Consider the following 21116-nt stretch of genomic DNA (forward strand, 5'->3'; position numbering starts at 1 on the left):
CATTTTGGTTCCACCCTACTAATTCTTTGGATATCCTACCAGCAAACATTCGTTCATGCTATGGCTGTCTTTTATCTCTCTTTTCTATGATCTATTCTCTATCTAGTCTCCCTTTGCTACAACTGCTGCTGTTGCAAACATGACCGCAAGTCTTCATGTGGCTAGTCTGGGGTCCCCAACTCTTTTCCCGGGCCAAGTTATATAAACCCCCACCACAAACCAAAAAACAGTAAATAATATACATAGATATATATATATTTTTTGTCATTGAGGAGACTTTAAAAGTTAAATTAGCCAAATTAGATTAGGTCTTAACCAGCAAGGTTATATAAATTAGTGAAACTGACAATTCTTCCACCTATACCAGTGCTTCTCAAAATTTCCCATAAATTAGAATCACTTAAATTGTTTTCTAAAATGCAAATTCCAGGGACTTATCTTCAGAGATTTTGAGTCAGTAAATCTGGGACAGGGCCTAAGAATTTGCATTTTGACAGCTTCCAATGAAATGACACTGTCTGCAAACCACACTTCAAATAGCATGGGCCTACCACTTTAAATAATACTATTGCTCCTCAGCTTTTATATTTTCACTGCATTTGATCTAGTATTGTTATTATTTATTTTAATGGTTCTTAATTAGATCCTTTTGAGAATTTGATGAAAATCAGGGACCTTTTCCTCAGATATATATACAGTCAAACACAATTTTACACACAATTTTGGAGGTCCATGGATTCCCCCCAAAAGATATTCCACTATTATTCAAAGATAATGATAATGGTTCATTATTCAATAATGGTTCATTATTCAAAGAAAATGAACCATGCTTTACCTGCTAAATAAATAAATTTTCAGTGCATACTATTTCAAGGCATTGAACAGGGCCCTAGTGATACAGCAAAAAATAAAAAAATTAGACATGAGATGGTCTGTATCCTCAAAGAAGTTAGGTCTGGTAGTGAAGATAGTCATTAGTTGATTACACAATTAATTAATTAAATACAATTTTGATAAATACATGAGGCATTATAGGGTACGATACTGAACATTTCAATTATTATGTATACAAAACATATATAAAATTTCTCTCTATATACATATATATGGAAAATTTGTGATGAAATGATGTTCAGCTAAGCTCTAAAGAATGAATTGGATGGCAAAGTACATTCTAGGTAAAGAAAACAGTATATTAGATTCTGAGAACAGGAGTATAGAATGTTCTGGAACTGAAAGAAGGCTACATGGCTAAAGCATGGAAAGAAAAGGGAAGAATACCTCAAAATAAGCTGAGCATAAGACAATAAGAGGTGCACTTTTGAAAGATCACTCTGGCTGCCTTGTGAATGATGGATTGGAAGGTAGAAAGATTGGATTCAGAGAGACCACTTAGGATGTTTTTCCAGGAATTAAGGTAAACAAAGTGGTTAGTTGGGACTCGGGTGTTGGTAATGGAGATGGAAAGAAATGACAGATCTAAGAAAAAACTAAGATAAGAATCCCTTATTTGTAAATGTACTTTTAACACCTATTTTTCTTCGCAGAAAAGTCAAAAGAACTTTGGAGTCAAACAGTCCTGCATTTGAAGGCTAGTGCTACCACTCACCATTAGGCTATTTAACCCCATACTTCTTAAAGTTGGATAAGGGATGGATGGTATACCAGGAGATATGAAAAAGCAGAGGCTGAACATAGTAATCTTCCTACAGAATCAGTTTTATTCAATTGTTTTTGGGAAATATTTTTATATTCAAATAAACAATATGATATTATGGAACAGAATGCAAATTATACATGATGTTTTTGCATAAATCATGAGACTTTAAAGAAAATTTGCAATTCCAGTATGCTGCAGTGGGTTAGGAACCACAACATGCCAAGATTAACTCTCCTCTACCTTTAGGAGTATTTCAGCAGAAACATTTTTAAAACAATGACTTTATCTTTTTGGGATTGAATTTTCTATTTACAAAAATAGAGATAACAATACATCATGGGATTCTATGAAGATTAAATGAAAACTCATAACATTGACCCTTGCACTAAGTAGTTTTGAAAAAACTATTTGTATATGTGAAAGCATTCAGCATAGTGCTGATTTATTTTCTATTTCAGCAACTGGTAGATCATACTATGAGCATTACTATTTAGTACATATTGCTGGTGATAATGGGCTAACGGACCGTTACTATATGTTCTAGCTTAACCTTTGCAAGTAACAACAGTAGATTGAAAATATTCAGCATTCTGCCATATTTAGTGCATTCCATTTTGTATTAACCTACTGAGGATACTTTGATTGTCTCCTAAATTAACAAATACTAAGTCAAAATTAAACTTAATATACATCAATCTCTTTTTTGTTGTAGTTGTGGCAACTGTATTAACCAAATATCTATTATTTCTAAGTCAAAAGCATAACAGTCCAAATGAATACAATCTATTAATTTGTTAACAGATTATATATAATAACCTAATGTTTTAAACATTCCCGTAGACACTAGGATGTGGCTAAGGGAAAATAAGTTAGTTATAAATTTTACATCACATTTCTCCTTCTAGCCAAAGACTGTTAGGAATTTTAATAAATATTAAAGGTAAAAAGTTAACTATAAAGATGCCTAACTTAATAAGTAGAAAGAGTGAGGAAAGATAGAATTGAAAGCATTAGAGAAATTTGAGGAAGGTAGATACATAATTTAGCCAATTCCTAAAGCTTTAGGGATTGTCCCCCTGAAAATTATGACACACCTGGCTGGGTTACAGTACACAGCATGCAGCGAGTTTCTGATATTAGTTCTATGTTTTCACTTTCAATATTTTTACTCTGATTAATTTTAAATTAGTTTCTAATTAAAATTTTTCTCATTAGTAAGTCTAAATTATTAAATTACTTCTAATTACTTTTGCTATATTAAATGATATTTTCATCACGAAAGATTTTTTTTCCTTTAATGATGTAACTACATGGAATATACTTAAGCATCTTTATGTATATAAATTTTTTCCCAGCCAAAAAAATTGAGATATATTATTTTGTGGCAAAAATATTCAGTTTTTCCACCAACTTTGCTAAAATAACTTTATTAGATGAAAGAAACATGATCTTTTAATAAAGTTCTATAAAAAGTCTTATATTTCAAAAAAGAACCATGCAAAAATATTTAAAAATACATTAGTTCTCAATACATACGAGGGATCCCTACTTGTTGTTTTCTTATTGCTGGACCAATGTTCAGCTTCTTATCCTTATAATTAAGTTTTTCAGCCTAAAATAAAGAAAAAAGAAATTATTTTATTATTTTAGCACTATTATTTATAAAATCAATAAGGAAAAACTAGTTAGAAAGAATTTCAAAAATTCAGACTATAATATTCTTTCAAAGCAGCAAGGAATAGTGGGAAAGAGCCGTCTTCAGACTGAAATAGATCTGGGTCTGACCGCAATTCCCCATTTTCTCCATTTGTAATACAGTCAATCCTCATTACTCATGGATTCTGTATTTGTGAATTTGCCTACTTGCTAAAATTTACTTGTAATCCTAAAATTAATATTTGTGGCAATTTTGAGGTTATTAGTGGACACGTGAAGAGCGGCGGAAAATTTGAGTAGCCTGATGCGCATGCTCCCAGTTGAGGTCAAATAAGGCGATATTCTTTCTTCTTGTTCCAGTGCTCATACTCTAAGAGAGAGCTTTCTATTTAGTGCCATGTTTTCTCCATTTTTGTGCTTTTTGTTGGTGATTTGGCTATTTAAAATGGCCCCCATGTGTATTGTTGAAGTGCTGGCTAGCACAAGAAGACTGTCATAGGCATTATGGAGAATATATATATTAGATGTGCTTAATTCAAGCATGAATTATAGTGCTATTGGCCATGGCTTCAATGTTAATGAACCAGTAATCTGTTATATATGATGCCTTTAAATGGAAAACCATATAAAACAAGGTTATATATTGATAGGTTGATGGCAATATTGTGACCAGAGGTTCTTGGGAACATTACCTTGTACTTCCCCTAGAAAGAGGAGTTCAGCATTTGCTAATTCAGTGTTCCTAGCAATGTTAGAGAACATAACTGCCACAAATAACAAGAATTGACTGTATTTGATTTTAATAACATACAATTCAAATTCTACTTTTTTTCTAAAAAAGTTAAATGTTATATTTGCCTTAACTTAAAGTTATTACACTGAATTGCTGGCTATAGGCTTTTTTTCTGTGAATATTCTTAGTTTATATAATGTTTTTCACAGGAGGGAAATCATCTCAGATAACCTCACTGTTGGAATCCACATTTGTAGTGTTTTTTAAACATTCAAAATGCTATTAACACTTCGCAAAAGATATATCCCCAAGTTCTTAATTTAAGTAAATAAAGCGAAACATTATATTACAGTTTCACAACCATACTTGTAGTGATTTTGGAATTTGCTCTTCTGCAGATTAAGTTTCCTAGAGACCAATGCCAATCTTAAGATGCAAACCTTTTTTAAAAAGCAGTTGATTATTGTATTTGAACCCCGAAAAGATTAGTTTCAAATACAAAATTTCCAGAAATGAAGTTAAATACACCAAAAGATCATACCTCTTGTAAAATTTTTTGTGCATCTTCTTGTGTTTCAAAAGTGACGAAACCATACCTAAATAAATGCATTAATTATTACTAATTAATCATTTTCTTAGAATGTTATATTAATTATATTAAAATGTTTAAAAATTTTGTTTTTAAATCATCGGCCACTGTAGGAGTAGGCATGTTTCTATGCTGCACTAGCATGGGAATCTTAGAAGAATCATTCACAGCCTAACACTGTCACTTTTAGTCAGGAACTAAAAGAAAAAAAACCCCTGAGATCTTGAAACAGCTTCAGCTCTCAGCTGTATGCAGGAAAGAAAAGCACAAGAGATTCATGCTGTTGCTTAAAAATTGGGGATGCAATAAATTTCAATCCAGAGCAATAATCTCCTTTTAAACTAATAGAAGTTTGGCTAAGAGAAATCAAAGTAGAAAAATAACTAAAAAATTTAAAATTTCAACACAATAAAATTTCTTATATTGGTGAATGACAATGTAAATGTATTATTTAATTATTATTATTAGCACATATAACTGATAATGTAATTATTAGTATATTCCCAAACAATATCAATTAAAAATATGTACAACCCAGATTTCACATCTGTTTTTCATACATAATTAACTTCAAGCACAATTCATATAATGTTGAAGATACAAATACACATAAATGATGTGCTCCATGTCCAAAAAGCCACAATAGGTAGAGAAAAAAGTAACAAAAGAAAGAAAAAATGTATCTCTCAAAACATAATTGCTATTTAGATAACTTAAGTAAACTCTTCTGAGTAATGCTAAATATCTTCACTATTTTCTTCAATTCATAATTACTGGATCATATACAAAGTTTCTTCTTTTAAACAAAGGAATTTCTCTTTATCTATTTGCCCAAACATTAAAAAGTTAAGGAATTAGTTTTACGCTATTTTTTTGGTAGAACACACACGCCACCCAGTGGAAAAGGCATAAAATACAGTTTACATTTACATTTCCATGTATGTTTTCCAATGATTAAAAAATGGTATTACCAAAACATAGCAAATTCTGTTAGTCAAACAAAAGAGGTAAATCTCACTTCACCTTAATATTGTTTGGCATTCTGAGGAAGTATCTCATCTGTTTATAAATAACCTTTCTGTAGAATCCCATCTCTTCCAGCATATCCATCTGTCGAATGTTGTTTCTCACCAATACCACCTCAATGGGTCCCTTTTCTTATGCCTATAAATATGTATGTCTCGTCTCTCTTTCAAGAAAGTAAATACAATACTTTACTGCCTTATCTATTTTCTTTTAACTTTGCAGTCCAACTCCTTAAGTGAGTGTACTATGTAAACTATCTTTTTCCTTTCTGAAATTTGGCTTTGTACACATAGCATTCCACTGAAACAGCTCTATACACATTTAAAGACACAGTCTATTACTTTCTTCTCAATTTTCATTATCATTGATATAGCAATTAAAAATCATTCTCACTAGAATTATATTTCTCATACTGGTCCCCTAATTAGGTCTCTGAGGCACAACCTACAGACATTTCTTGGTGTCAGCTGTTTTCAAATAAAGCTCTCTATGGCCTAAAGCAGGGATACAATTCCAAAAGAATCTGATTCCTTTTGCTTCTCATTCCTCAGCTAATGTACATCTGCTACTTACATTAAGTGCTTGCTGCCTACCACTGAATGGTCCCTCCACCCATGCAAGAATAACTTCTCAACAAATTAAGAAATATTACAGTGTCTCCTCCCTCCAAAATACACACACACACACACACACACACACAAGGAAATCAAAAGGTAGGAGGAAAGAAGAGGGCATGATGGTCTCTGCTGGAAAATGGAACCAAAGTAAACTGGCGTACAAAACCTAGTCATCCAATGAAAATAGAGTTGCTAATTCCATAGACAATCTATAGTGATACTAACCCTTTGGATACTCCAGCTCTGTCATTTACAATCTTCACTTCTTTCACAGACCCATACTGGGAAAAAAATTTTCTTAAATCACTTTCGTTTGTCTAATGGCATAAAAAGAAAACGTTAAAAAGCATTTTTAGTTGATAAAAGATGAATAATTCTCATGCTTGCTCTGGAGACAGAAAAAGTTATAGATAAGATGCATGAAAAATGCCTCTCATCATCAAAACAGTGCATAAACCACTAGGTGATTAAAATCAAGGTAAATATCTTGCTTTATGCAATAGCTATGTTGTTAAATTACCATATGCCAATAAAAATGTAAGCTGAATTATTTTAAAACTACAAAACTCACTATTTAAAGAAATCTTTAAATGATTCTTGTTCTCTAGCTGGCCAGTTTTTAAAAAGCCAATTTGGATTAGGAATGCTATTTCCATAGTAAGGGTACAATACTATTTTGGCTCTTGTGGCTCAGAGACAGTCATGGCAGTGGAACTAGGTTGTGTTGGCCTACACCAGTCATTCTATTTTAATCAGTAGTCTCAGGAACTCCTTTCCTAAGTCAGTTTTAGGAAAGGAATGTATTTCCAAAAGTGCTTGAACTCAACTGTGAGAACAATGGAGTGACTATAAGATTTAAAGTTATTAGATTCCTTATCTGTACTCAATATACATTTCAGCTAAATTCAGACATTGTTTTGATAATAAAATAAAAATTGGAATCATAATTAGATTTAAAGCATACAAGGTGTCTACAAAGATGGTTTTGGCATGTCTGTTTTTTTAATTGAAATAGTCTGATAATAGACTCATATCACCTTTTCTCAGAATACTGACACTAAATTCATTGCAATTTCATTTCCTGGTTTAGCTGTAACTGTTTGTCTACAAGAGTAACTTTTCTCTAGAAAAAAATTTCTTTATATACACTGCAAAAAGACATGCCTTAGTGCAGAGCTATGCCTTTTGAGTTCAACTGCCACCTCACTACTTACATACACTATTGGTTTTTAGTTGGTAACATAAAGCCTGCTAAGCTGCATAATGACAAATACTGATTCAATCTAAGAAAAACTGAATGACTTTTATTTCAGTTAACAGAAAATGAAATCAATGCTAGAATAAGAATTGTTACTAGATATTTGAATACAAATTAATTCCAACTATTCTCTGGTAGAATAATCACTACCTCAATTTTGTAGCTCCACTTCTTTAGTGACAAAGAGACAGTCAAGAAAAGTAAGCATTAAGAGGGATAGTCTGTTTGCTTATAAAAATGAAAGGTTAAAAAGTCTGTGACTACTTGCTATTAAAGTAAATGATTTCCTTGCTGGCCTTTATCTGTGGTTTTGAAAAAGGTATAAGTATACAGGAGGAAGCCCTAGCAATTACCTTAAAGCTATGGCTGCATTATAACAACCGTCTCCAAAGTGCATGCTGTAGCTGATGGGCTTCAGTAACCTAAAATAACCTGGCCATACAAATGTTTATATTTATTGATAACTTATTTTTAAAAACATGCTAATCTATTGTAATATAAATGAATTCCCAAATTGAACATTTCTGCCAGCTATCAGTATTTTCCACAAAGAAAATCTTTTTAAAAATAAATATTTTATAAGAAATAATTTTTCTTACTTTATTTTTAGTGAAACAATCATATACTTGTTTAAGACTCATTGTTTTGGCAAATACACTAAGTGTAACATTTCTCTTGTGCAGGAAAAAAGAAATTCCACCCAAATTGTAACAGATTGGTTATATGGAAATAGTTATAAATGTCAAATATCACACCTAATGGCATAAGGAAGGTTTTTTTTTTGTTGAAAATGATAACTCTCCCTATAATTTCTAATATGTAAAATAGAAGCTTGGAAATCCTTCTATATATCCATTTGAAAGTAAGAGTATTCCACTTAAAATATCTATGCATGCCTTTCTTGTAGGTGTTTACTCTTACCTCCCCTATGTGGGCTGGGGGGCACTGCACATCATGTCATGAACTATGCTTTCTTGAAACAGTGGAATGGCTGATTACATGATATAAATATATTAGTTTTTAAAAAACTTTTATTTTAAGTTCGGGGTACACGTGCAGATTTGTTATAAACTCATCATTGGGGTTTGTTGTATAGATTATTTTGGCACCCAGGTACTAAGCCTAGTACCGAATAGTTATTTTTTTTTCTGCTTAAATATACTACTTTTAAGATGCTTTATTCTGACAAGGACACAGGACTTTTTTGGTGATCAAATCCTAAATTCTAACATAGAAAGTGCTTTGCAAAGAATAGATGCCTAGGAGGTTGCTCAGGAATCTGAGATAAGAGTTGGGGTAAAGAAATAGTATTTCATAAAAGTAAGTTTTTAAAAAATAGAGTCTCTTTTGAAAATTATAATAATCAATTATTTTGGCTATTGGAATATTAGGCAAGAAAGTATAATTAGTTCTGGTATGGAAGAGTATGGAGCTATGAGACAGAAAACTAGGCTTCTAGTCTCACTCTGTCACTATGTGGCTAGCAGCCCACAGCAAGTCAGTGAGGATCAATTTCTTTATATCTGACATTGAACAGTTTTTAATGCTTTATGTAACCTACATGCTGGTTGAAAAGATTCTTTATAATAAGATAATTCAAAATCTGTTAATCATTATGCAAATATGTTATTTTATAGTTGCACAAAGAAATAATTTCTGAGAAATAAAGACTTCTAATGAAAAAATACACTTTACTGCATGCATAAATAGGTACCTTAAAATCAATTCCTCCTACAAAGATGCGATTAGGGATCACTGTTCCATATCTTGGGGCACTTGTTGGGTTATTCAAAGGCACAGGTGACACAGGATTAGGGGATGGAGATAATGAATCTGTTTGCATCTGGTTTGATGTTTGCTGTAAAATAAAATTCTTTTACACTTTTTGCACTGGGTATAATGCAGTCTGCTTTTGATGCAGACCAAAAACATATATTTTTCAAAAAGAAGAGTCATTTAGGCAAAATATAGTATTCTAGGCTTTACTTTTAATATTATAAAAATTATAATTAGAGCTAAGAGCTTTTTAAGGCAACAGAACTAGGAAACACAGAATCTACTCCACTATAGAGATTTTAAATATTAAATATATTACTTAAAATGCTTATATTATTATCAAACCTATTACTTAATTATTAAGGGGAATATTAAACTCATGAACATGTTTGAGAAAGAGAAAACAGTCCCAGCCTGACACAATCAACTACACCCTGGTGTTGTTAGGAGTTGGCCTGGCACTCACAGCTAGGCTGTGGTGTTCTCTTGTTAACAGAACACCAACATCAGACAAAGTCACCCTGTGACTCTGATGGATCAAGATTAAAAACAAGACCACTCCATAATCATGTTTGAATGCTGACAAAAACAAAGGCATTGCCCAAACCACAAGAATAACCAAACAACCCTCCATTCTGGCTGATATGAGTGACTGCTCCTTCTTTATCAGCTATAGTTTTAGCCTCGATCCATTTTTCTTTCCTTTTAGATAAAAGTTAACACATCCAATCATAGAATTACTACCATTTCCTGACGCTATACATTCCAGAGTAAAGCCCTACTTCCTTAAACCCTCTCTAGAAATTGCTCAACAGAAGCCTATATCCTGTAAGTTCTAACACCTTCTGATTGAGAGGCCCCATGGTTTATGTTTTCCCTTGTTTGAACAATTAACAGACCCAACTTTACTAAATGACGCATGTGTTCCTGGTGGTCTTTAACTAATGGTCATCGACAAGTTAATAAACTCTAACATTCACATTCACCATTTTCAGCCTGAAAGTCAAAATTTTAAATGCACTTGTCAATTTGAAGATTGGACTGATTTTGTTAAAAAATTATATACTTGTAGCTCATAAATGTTTATTCCAAAGAATTAGCTCAGTACATATCCACATGTTCACAATTCTAAGTTAGAGGACATAATTTAAATTTTAATAAATATATATAAATGTATAAGCCTTTGCAGAATGGTAAGATAATAGACTTTTAAGGTATAACTGAAAAAAAACCCAAGACTTGAGAATCACATTGAAGAGAAACCAATTCAAGAACTGGTGAATTATTTTCCATCTGGAAACACTAAACACACTTCTGAGACAAACCCCATAATATCCTAAAGACAAACCCCATAATATCCTAAATGTGTGCTTCAAAAAACTTGAAGTAAACTGGGTGTTGTGGCTTGTGCCTGTAATCCCAGCTGCTTGGGAGGCTGAGGCAGGAGGATTGCTTGAGATCAGGAGTTCGAGACCAGCCTGGGCAACAAAGAAAGACCCCATCTCAAAAAGAAAGAAAAAGAAAATAACAAAAGCTTGAAGTTCATAATTCCAATTCTCTGAGAAACAAACTCATGAAAATGAATCTCCAGCTCAGGTAATAAAGTTGTTCTTTTTCAAATTTGTTCTGCTCTTTCTTCTCTGGCCAATACAATCACAATCCCTAAATTAATCTTTGCAAGATGTACAGAGAAATGACTAGGGCAGGAGTGGCAATTGGGCTATAGGCTGGACCTTATGGGCTCTCTTCCCCATCCAGCCTTAAGGAAGTATGTACTCCTAATAAGGGAATATGTAAATACTTCTTTTAAAACACAGAAAAGCCACCACATTTAATAATTACTATGTTGTAGTTTCCAATGAAAGAAACTGGGAATCTAATCTTAACAGCTTTCTCTCTGGGCACTTGGAGGTTATTTGTGACTTCAGTCACTTCGCTCAGTAGGATATAATGCTCAGAATGGGTAATTCTGGAATGCTTAGTATTTTTCAACTATGGATTTTGTATTGCTAGAGATAATATAACAGCTCTAGTAGATGTAATCTTGTCTTTCTGCCCATTTGTTTACAGTGTCAAAATTACCTATTTGCTAAATTTAAAAAATCATTCTTCATGAAATTCTCTTATTGAAAATAAGATGTACTAATATGTTCGCAAGTTTAAGTAAAAGACAAACCCCATTATATTTCATTGAGAGAAGGATGAAATGAACGGAAGTAAACAGTGCTTTATTTCCAATCTCGAGAAACTAAAGGATACTCCCTGAGAAAAGAAAAACAACCTTTCACACTCAATTCACTTCATTCTCCTCCACTCTCTAAGGCTCTATTGTGGGCTCGCTCTGCTTAAGTTTTCTCCCTCATCATTTTCTAACATACGATATAGTTTACTTAGTATGTTTATTATCTGTCTCCACTATTATGTAATGCACCAGGGCAGAAGTTTTGCTTTTTTCATGGCAGCATCTAAAGTACTGACAGTACACAGCAGGTGCTCAATAAATATCTGTTGAATGACTAAAAGTGAATCATTTCTTCAGGAGAGACCTGCTCATGATATGCCAAATAGGCTGAAGGCTAAAGAATACAGTATAACAGCAGTCTAATACATATATATATATATATATATATATATATATATATATATATATATATATATATATATATTTGAGACAGTCTTGCTCTGTCGCCAGGCTGGAGTGCAGTGGCGTGATTTCGGCTCACTGCAACCTCCGCCTCCCTGGTTCAAGAGATTCTCCTGCCTCAGCCTCCTGAGTAGCTGAGACTACAGGTGCGCACCACCACGCCCAGCTAATTTTTTTGTATTAGTAGAGATGGGTTTTCACCATTTTGGCCAGGATGGTCTCGATCTCCTGACCTCGTGATCCGCCCACCTTGGCCTCCCAAAGTGCTGGGATTACAGGCGGGAGCCATCGCGCCAGGCCTACAAAATATTTTAATGTTAGCAATAGCAAGGCTCAGGTGGAGGCAACATCTAAGTTCATTATAAACAATTAGCGATGCATTGAGTTAAACAACAAAGAAAGCCTGAAATTCCACTAGCAATAATTCCGCATGTGTTACGGAAACACCTAGATGGGGACTGTTGCCGGGTTTGAAGGCTCCTCCGTTTGCTAAAACTTCCAGCACTAGAGAGTTTATTAAACTACTCCTCCAAAGCAATGTGCCCTCACTGGCCCCTCCCCTTGAGAATCAACCTCGAGATCTAGCATCTATTTTGCAAACGAAGACAGCAGGAACGGGCGGGCTAACCGTCGCAGTCACTGCCTCGGCGCTCCTCCCCCTCCAAGGCCAGCAAGTTGCGGCACTGGGGGAAATGGCCGCGGCGACAACTTCCTCGAGTTCTCTCGGGTCATCGTGAACTTGGGCACCGAAACGAGGATCCACCCCCTCCCCACCAAAGTGCGGGAGGGAAAAGAAGGCTAGCCAGCGAGAAATTTTGCCCCACAAATCCGCCAGCAGCAGTGGCGGGAAGCCTCAACGGCAGCGACCCCGCCGCTGGCCTCGTGCGCAGCTGGTCCCCACCCTCGCGCGGCGCTCCCTGATTGGCTGCTGGCGGCGGGACGGGGCGGGGCGGGATGGCACGTTGCCGCTGCGCCTCGGGCCTGTGCGGGCAGTCCTCCTTCACTTCCCCAAGTCCACCCTGACTGGCTTGGGTGCACAGCCAGGGCTAGAGTGTCCGGGTCCCGCCTGGGCCACAGGCGGGCCCTGCCAGGTCTCTCAGACCTTCCGGTCCTCGCTGACCAGTCGGGGAGTGGAGGCGTCGACCGCCCTGGCAACTCCTCGCCTTGGGCGGCTGGGTCGAGTTCGGCCGCAGGGAGCGTCAAAGACGCTGCCTAGCCCAATTTCGGCGGGAAAGCGGTTTACCTGCTCGGACTTCGCTGGGTGCCTGGCAGCCCGCCGCCTCCCGAAACATCCACGCCTGAGGTCCCCTGGCCCGTCTACACCCAGTCCAGGCCCCGTGGCGGCGCCTTTCTGACCCCCATGACACAGCCAGACGAGGTCTGCGGGCGGGTGGCTCCTGGCAGCGGTCGATGGGGCACCTGGCCACGTTTCTTCCCAACCAGATAGCGAGCGTTTGGGGCCTTCACCTCGCCCCTCCAAGCCCTCAGGGACAGGCTCCACGCTGCTCCTTCTCCCCGCTATCCCGCGCCCTGGGGCCCTGATCGCCGTACTCACCGGCCCGGACTCGGTTTCCATCTTCCTCTCTGCTCTTCAGAGACGCGGGGTAGGGAAAAGAAGCCTAAAGTTTGAAACCACCTTCACGCCAAGGCAGCAGCGCTGCTTGTCCTGCCTGGGACTCTCGCCCCCTGGCGGCGAGGGTGGCTGTGGCAGCTGCAGGGAAGCAGGCTCGGACCCCGGCCCTGAACCTGCCACCTGGCGGGTGGGGAGAAGCGGACTGCGTCGCCTCGGGTGGCAGGTGGCGGTGCGGGCGGGCGCTGCAAGCCGGAGAGGGGCGCGGGAGGGCGAGTTTCGGCTGTGGCCCTGGGACTCCGAGCCGGGGCGTCTCAGGGGCAGAGCGCACGGCACAGCGGGGCGGGCGTGGGGCGTGCGGAGCGAGGGCTCGGTTCTGGGACCCCTCTCGCCTTCTCTCAGACGGCTGGGGAGGAGAGAGCGAGCGGTCAGGCAAAGCTCCATGCACGCCTTCCCCTCTCCTCCACTTGAGAAGAGTCGGCCTCTGGGACTGGTGGGTTTCGAGAGGTTGAGGTGACCTTAAGGCTTTACTGAGGTAGAAGAAGCCGGTTGACGGGCGACTTCCGAAGACTGGTGTAAAGCGAAGAAGGTTCTAGAGTCAAACTCTGACTCTCGGGGCCTGACTCGCAAAACTCGGGGGCTCCCGAGAAGCCGCGGACGCCGCTCTGCACCTGTTGCCGCCGTCACTCATCCCGCCAGGCGGGCGGGGCCGCGCGGGTGGCTTGGTCAGGACCTGCCATTCAGCCCAGTCGGGCTCCGGTGCTCGCCCCGGACGGCGCCCCAAGCGGGTCCCGGCCCCGCTGAGCACCTCCAGCAGTGGCACAGCCTCTGGAGGGGTCCGGGACGAAGCCACCCGCGCGGTAGGGGGCGACTTAGCGGTTTCAGCCTCCAACAGCCTTGGGATCGCCTTTGGAAGAAGATTGCGCTTTTTTTCTTAAATTAATGAATTAATTTACTAATTATTTTTATTTTTGAGACGGAGTCTCGCACTGTCGCCCGGGCTGGAGTGCAGTGGCGCGATCTCGGCTCACTGCAACCTCCGCCTTCCGGATTCAAGCGATTCTCCTTGTCTCAGCCTCCCGAGTAGCTGGGATTACAGGCGCCCGCTACCACGGCTAATTTTTGTATTTTTAGTAGAGACGGGGTTTCACCATGTTGGCCAGGCTTGAACTTCTGACTTCAAGTGAGCTGCCTGTCTTGGCCGCTCAAATTGTTGGGATTACAGGCTTGAGCCACCGTGCCCGTCCAGTTGACTAATTATTTAGACACGAAGGCTCACTCTGTCGCCCAGGCTGGAGTGCAGTGGTGCGATCACGCTCACTGAATTCTCGACCTCCTGGGCTCAAGCGATCCTCCCACCTCAGCCTTCTGAGTAGCTGGGACCACAGGCAGGCCCACGCCACCATGCCTGGCTGAAAGAAGACTGCTTTGTAAATAATACGTATTTCTAGTAGGTAGCTAAAATGATTACAACTGGATAAACTTATAGTAATGATTATCATTATTATAGCTGCCATTTATCAAGTACTCACTTTGTTTCAGGCACAATGCTTTATGATCAGTATCATTTAATCTTTTCATGCTCACAGCAACCTTTCAGATAGATGCTCCAATTATCGTCATAGTACGTGATGAAGCAGAGATTTGAAGGATAAGTAATTTGGTCAAGATCTAAAGCTGTAGGAGGTTTAACCCTCGTCTCCCCCCCAACCCACAGTTCTTGATCATAACCATTTTGCCACATATTTTTAAAGAATCAGCAGTAACAACTGTTAAAATTTACACCAGTAATAACTATTGTACACACTACTATAAAAGTTTGACTTTGGGTTACTTTGCCTTCAAGATATAGAATTAAAAACAGAGTGAATATATTAATTTTTGATTTATTCAAAGATTAGCTCTTCATATTATTTTACCCAAAATAAAATGGGAAACAATTTTTGTTTATCTTACCCGAAGAATCCCTAAAGTCATTATACATTTCTGCATGCAATTTAAGCTCATTTTACCAGGTTTCAGTCTCTGTGGAAATCGAGAATACAAACCTATTTAGATGAAAACTCATATTCTAAAGCATAATAATCTTACTGTTCAATACCAGTAGAACTAATCTTCTTTGGGCATTTTTTTTTCCTAGGACTGTTGCTGGATTTGGGTAGATGTTACTATCCTCTCTTGCCCAAAACATTTTGACTAAAAACACTTATTTTCAAGAACTACATTCTCTTAAAAAATGTATTCAGCGCAGTAGGTGTTTAATCTGACAAAAATTTACGTAATTTAGGGAACGCTAACTGTATTTCAAGGCTGGTGTTGGGTACTAGAGGGATATACTTTATTTTCAGTGTGGCAGTTCTCTGTTCTGCCTCTTACTATTAATTCTTACACCAAAAGGAAAGTTCAGCTTTAAAACTTGGATAAACCACATAAAATTATGCAATGCACCCCAATTTAGTAGACACTTAACAGAGTTCCTATTCTGTGCAGTACATAATGGAATATAATGTGGGAGATATGAAGATGAAGAACAGGGGTGTCCAATCTTTTGGCTTCCCTGGGCTACATTGGAAGAATAATTGTCTTGGGCCACACATAAAATACATAAACACTAACGATAGCTTATGAGCTAAAAAAATAAATCACAAAATCTCATAATGTTTTAAGAAAGTTTACGAATTTGTGTTGGGCCGCATTCAAATGCGGCCCATGGGCCACCAGTTGGACAAGCTTGAAGAACAAGGTCAAACCTCTGTTCTCAAAGCATTTTAAATCTAGAAGGATAGAAAAAACTAATTACTCCAAACAGTATAATATAAATATGCTTATAAGAAAATAAAATACAGGCATAACAGGCTGAGTGATATATTAACAATGATCAACGGTCTGTGGGAGAACAGAGGATAGCATCATAGAGCACAGTGTCCAGGGCTGGGTAAGGGCATTGTTAAGGCTGGAATGCTGGTCTGGGCAGAAAAATTGAGGGAAAGATATTGAGCCTGCATCATGTACCTAATGCTGGGCTAGCCACATTCTTTTTAAGTCTTAGTTCTCTCTTTTTCTTAGTCTCTCTTTTTCTCTCTCTCATTGGAAACCTGAGTCTTAGAGAGGTAAAAGTGACTCTCGTGGTCACATTGCTAGTAAGTGGTGGATGTCATTTTCAAAACTTTGTTCCTTTTTTTAAATTATACCTTAAGTTCTAGGGTACATGTGCACAACGTGCAGGTTTGTTACATAGGTATACATGTACCATGTTGGTTTACTGCACCCATTAATTCATCATTTACATTAGGTATTTCTCCTAATGCTATCCCCCCCCTACCAGCCCCCTACCCAACAACAGGCACTGGGGTGTGATGTTTCCCACCCTGTGTCCAAGTGTTCTCATTGTTCAGTTCCCACCTATGAGTGAGAACATGTGGTGTTTGGTTTTCTGTCCTTGCGATAGCTTGCTCAGAATGATGGTTTCCAGCTGCATCCATGTCCCTGCAAAGGACATGAACTCATCCTTTTTTATGGCTGCATAGTATTATACCATGGTGTATATGTGCCACATTTTCTTAATCCAGTCCATCATTGATGGACATTTGGGTTGGTTCCAAGTCTTTGCTATTGTGAATAGTGCTGCAATAAACATACGTGTGCATGTGTCTTTACAGTAGCATGATTTATGTTCGGGCTCAGTGCACTTTGTCATGTTACTTATACTATGGCAATAAAGAGAATTTTATTCTGGAGACCTTTGTAAATAGGGACCATTGAAGATGATTGAACCAGGAAGTTGTATAATCAGAGCCAAATTTTAGGAAGATATTTTCATATCAAAGAAGAGTTTTTGAGGGGCACAGACTGGAAACAGATAGTTGAATTTGGAGGAGAAAACAATTCAAGTGAAAAATAATGGGGACCTGAACAAAGGTGACAGGAGTGAGAATCAAACACTGGGAAAAGGTTAAAGAGATACCAGTGAGGAATTGAGACTGTTGGGCATGGGTGATGATGGAGAGGGATTGGTGAGGCTCATTCAGAAATCTGGTTTCACATATGGGAGATACTGTTTACCAAGATAAACATAAAAGTATAGCACATTACAAATTGCAAACCTAAAAATCCCATTTTCTTAAGTTTTCTGCCAGGTTCCCAATGTTTCTCATCTTTTTTCTTCGCACAATCTGTTCAGAACATAGTCTTTGTTTCAGGGATTTACCCAACTACCCTTCTTTCTTGCCTTCCCTAGTTGACAGTTCTTCCCTTCTTGCCTCTTGAGTTTTCTAACTTCAGATTGAAGCTCCTAATATCTACTTCTGGCTCTCATTTTCTTGATAACCCTTTGGATGCATTCTCTAGTTTATAGATGTGGATAACTATTTTGTTCCTCCTGTGGGCAGGCTTTATGCTATGGCATGGGATACAGCAATGATTAAGGCCTAGTTCTTGCTCTGGTAGCAAGACCTAGTGGCAGCCTGTGATCTAGTGCAAGAAGCAGCTAAGCAGCCTGTGGTCTAGTGCAAGAAGCAGCTAAGTAAGTAAAAAGTTTATACATTCATTGTGCTAAGCATGGCAGTAGAAGAGTTGCCAGGTACAGAGATAGCCCAGACCAGGGAGTGATTTAACTTGGTAGATAAAACAACATGAAAAGACATGTTTAGAAGATGCCTCTGTTTCCATTTTATTTTTTTTCTTGTTTCCAGATCTATTAACTTATTGTTTCATTTTGGAGGATTTTAGGTGCTTTCTTTTTCTCTGTAATGGTTGGATGTTTGAAATAGGAGAGGTGAGGGATAGAGTTTAAAAAAATGCCTTAAGAAAGCAAAGAGGACAGCTCAGATCTTCTTTTCTCCTACAGGGAGCACAACACTTAGACTTGGAGAGGTTGTTACAGAGACGAAGACTAGAACAATATTTGATTTATTGGATTTTTTTTGGTAAAAATTAGTTCATTTATTTGCTTACGCTGTTTACTGTGAGCACTACTTAGATACAAGAACATACAATATAGAACCTACTGACTAGCATAAAGTATGAACTCAAAAAATATTTGTAGAATAAGGGAATAAATGAACAGATAAGCCTCACCCCATACCACACTTTGTCTAAGTCCCCACCATTTGATTCTTACTTTAGACATTTGGACCATTAAGAGGCTCACCAGCTGGACTGTCCTCTAATCCTTATCGGTAGAATGAGATCAGATACTTACTTTCTTGTCCTTAACTCACAGAAGTGAATTTGGACATGTTTAACTGTAAAGGAAAGTTTTAGTTGTGATGCTTAGTAAGAGGTGGCTTTTTTTTTCATTAAGATATAAACTAGGAGACTTCTTGGTACTTTAGACAGGCTAGCTCATGGCTAGAACACAACTGTCCTTCTAGACCACTATGACATCCTTCTGGATTAAGAGTGAAGAACAATTGATTATTGCCAGATAACCTTTTTCTTTGTTCCTTTTCCCCCTCAATGGATATGTGGATTCTAAATTTTAATTGATTTCTCCTGATTGATTTTCCCATAACAATTTGTGAGAGTACAGATTCCTTTTCATTGGCACACTGTAAGTTCTCACTCTCGGAAGCTTCTGCCAGCCTGGTGGTAGGCAAATCTAAAAAGCTCACTGGTTGGTCCTTTAATAGCTCTGATGTTCTGTAGTTCTTTTTTTTAATTGACAAATAAAAATATTTTATAAGTGCATAGTTGTATATATTTATGTGGTACGATGTGATATTTTGATATATGTATATATTGTGGAATAATTAAGTCAAGTGAATTAACATATCCATCATCTCATCTGCTTATCATTTTTCTTGTGGTGAGAACATTTAAAATCTACTCTTTTAGCAATTTTGAAATGTATCAGTAAAACTTATTCATTCTATCTAAGTAAAATTTTGTACCCTTTGACCAATGTCCTCCCTTTTTCTGTTTCTATGAGTTTGACTTTTTTAGATTCTCTATGTAAGTGAGATCATGCAGTATTTGCCTTTCTGTGCCTGGCTTATTTCACTTAACATATTGTCCTCCAGGTTCATCTATATTGTTGCAAATGACAAGATTTCCTTTTTAAAGGCTGAATAGTATTCCATTGTGTACATATACCACATTTTCTTTACCCATTTATCTGTTGATGGACGCTTAGATTGCTTCTATATCTTGGCTTTTGTGGATAATGTTGCAGTGAACATGGGAGTGCAGATATCTCTTTGACGTACTTGTTTCAGTTTCTTTGAATGTATACCCAGAACTGGGATTGCTGGATCATATGGTAATTCTATTTTTAGTTTTTTTGGAGAACCTCTGTACTGTTTTTCAAAATGACTGTACAAATGTACATTTCCACCAACTAGGCTTCCCTTTTCTCCATATCCTCACCAACACTTATCTTTCACCTTTTTGATGATAGCCATATAACAGATGTGAGGTGATACATCATTGCAGTTTTAATTTGCATTTATTTGATGATTAGAGATATGTGTCAGGTCTTATTCATTTTTGTACACTGTGAACTTAACTCTGTAATGACACATAACAGACATTCAATATTTTATCTTAAACTATTGAGGTAGAGCAGTAGTACCCCAGGGATATGGGAATAAAATATTAGAGCTCATATTTTTATTTATCTAAATTGATAAGAAGTAAATCAAGCTTTGCTAATGTTTGATATGTAGATTCCACTCTTACCCTTACTTGGTCCATATATGGGTAAAAATATTTTGAGGGAAGATTGGGAGTTCTAGAACATGGAGAAGTTGACAGCTCCAACTCATTGCCTGGTCCATGAGCCCAGCTAAATGAATTTTAAATTATGTTGTGTTAGTTTGAATTAAACTAACTCAAGATGGATGCATGGCTTAAATATTCCAGAGAACATAAATCAAAGATAATTCTAGTGAACATTTCAAAAATTGCAGAGCGTTCCCTTCTTCTATTCTTACTACAAGCACGTCCTCAGCCACATCATGAAGTAAAAACAATGACAATATATCTTATAAGAAGTCAGCTCCCCAAAATTGACTTTTTAGTATGTGGATGTACACCCTCTTCCATAAACAACAGAAGGCCCTAAATGGATATTGTTTCTTAAGATATTAGCTAATGGTGATATAAAGCCATCACCATTAGCAAAACATTTTAAAGTAATATTTGCTTCATCTTCTTAAAACTCTTTGGTGTATGTTTTATAATGTGCATAAATACTAACATAGAGACATAGTAAATGATGGGCGTCCTCAAAAACCAACAAGAATTTGCAAACACAATGTGTGGAAACTCCTACAGAAGAGCATGGTCCTCAAGATCTGCTTTTTTTTTGTTTTGTTTTGTTCTAGAAGGCAGAGGAAATACACACTTAAAAAGGCAGACACACTTAAAAAGATGTAAATATAGTACACTGGGTATAAAAGGTATTAATGGAGAATACATGGTAACTTGAGGGTTTTGGAAACACTTTCTGGAAAAGACAATGTCTGAAATGAATTTTGAAGGAGTGATGGTTAGCTCAAGGAAGAGAGGTGGGAAAGGGATTTCATATAACTAAGAGGTGAAAGCATGAAATGCATTTAGTATTCAGTGGATTTCAAGTAGTCTGAT

The 21116-nt window shown here is 37.5% G+C and overlaps 1 protein-coding gene across 12 annotated transcripts in view, besides 1 other annotated feature; it reads right to left on the reverse strand.

The window, feature by feature from the left end:
• BOLL (boule RNA binding protein) overlaps positions 1–13738 on the reverse strand; it is a 59317-nt gene extending 45579 nt beyond the window's left edge. For 6 of the 12 annotated variants that reach the window (NM_197970.3, XM_011511692.4, XM_047445580.1 and 3 more), the window contains exons 1-5: positions 13515–13738; positions 9254–9397; positions 6507–6598; positions 4591–4645; positions 3197–3272 (exon numbers count right to left, since the gene is read on the reverse strand). In NM_197970.3, the coding sequence (NP_932074.1) occupies positions 3197–3272; positions 4591–4645; positions 6507–6598; positions 9254–9397; positions 13515–13535 (388 nt within the window). In that variant the 5' untranslated portion in view covers positions 13536–13738. Of the gene's footprint in view, positions 1–3196; positions 3273–4590; positions 4646–6506; positions 6599–9253; positions 9398–12160; positions 12852–13514 lie in introns of those variants that run through there. The other 6 variants (NM_033030.6, XM_011511694.3, NM_001284362.2 and 3 more) reach the window with 4 other exon arrangements.
• Positions 14027–14256: an enhancer, noted in NCBI's record as "active region_16944". NCBI's record gives its function as "activates an Ori minimal core promoter by ATAC-STARR-seq in GM12878 lymphoblastoid cells {active_cell/tissue: GM12878}" and the evidence as "EXISTENCE:reporter gene assay evidence [ECO:0000049][PMID:35858748]".

This window comes from Homo sapiens, chromosome 2 (genome assembly GCF_000001405.40).
Source record: "Homo sapiens chromosome 2, GRCh38.p14 Primary Assembly".
Taxonomy (NCBI): domain Eukaryota; kingdom Metazoa; phylum Chordata; class Mammalia; order Primates; family Hominidae; genus Homo; species Homo sapiens.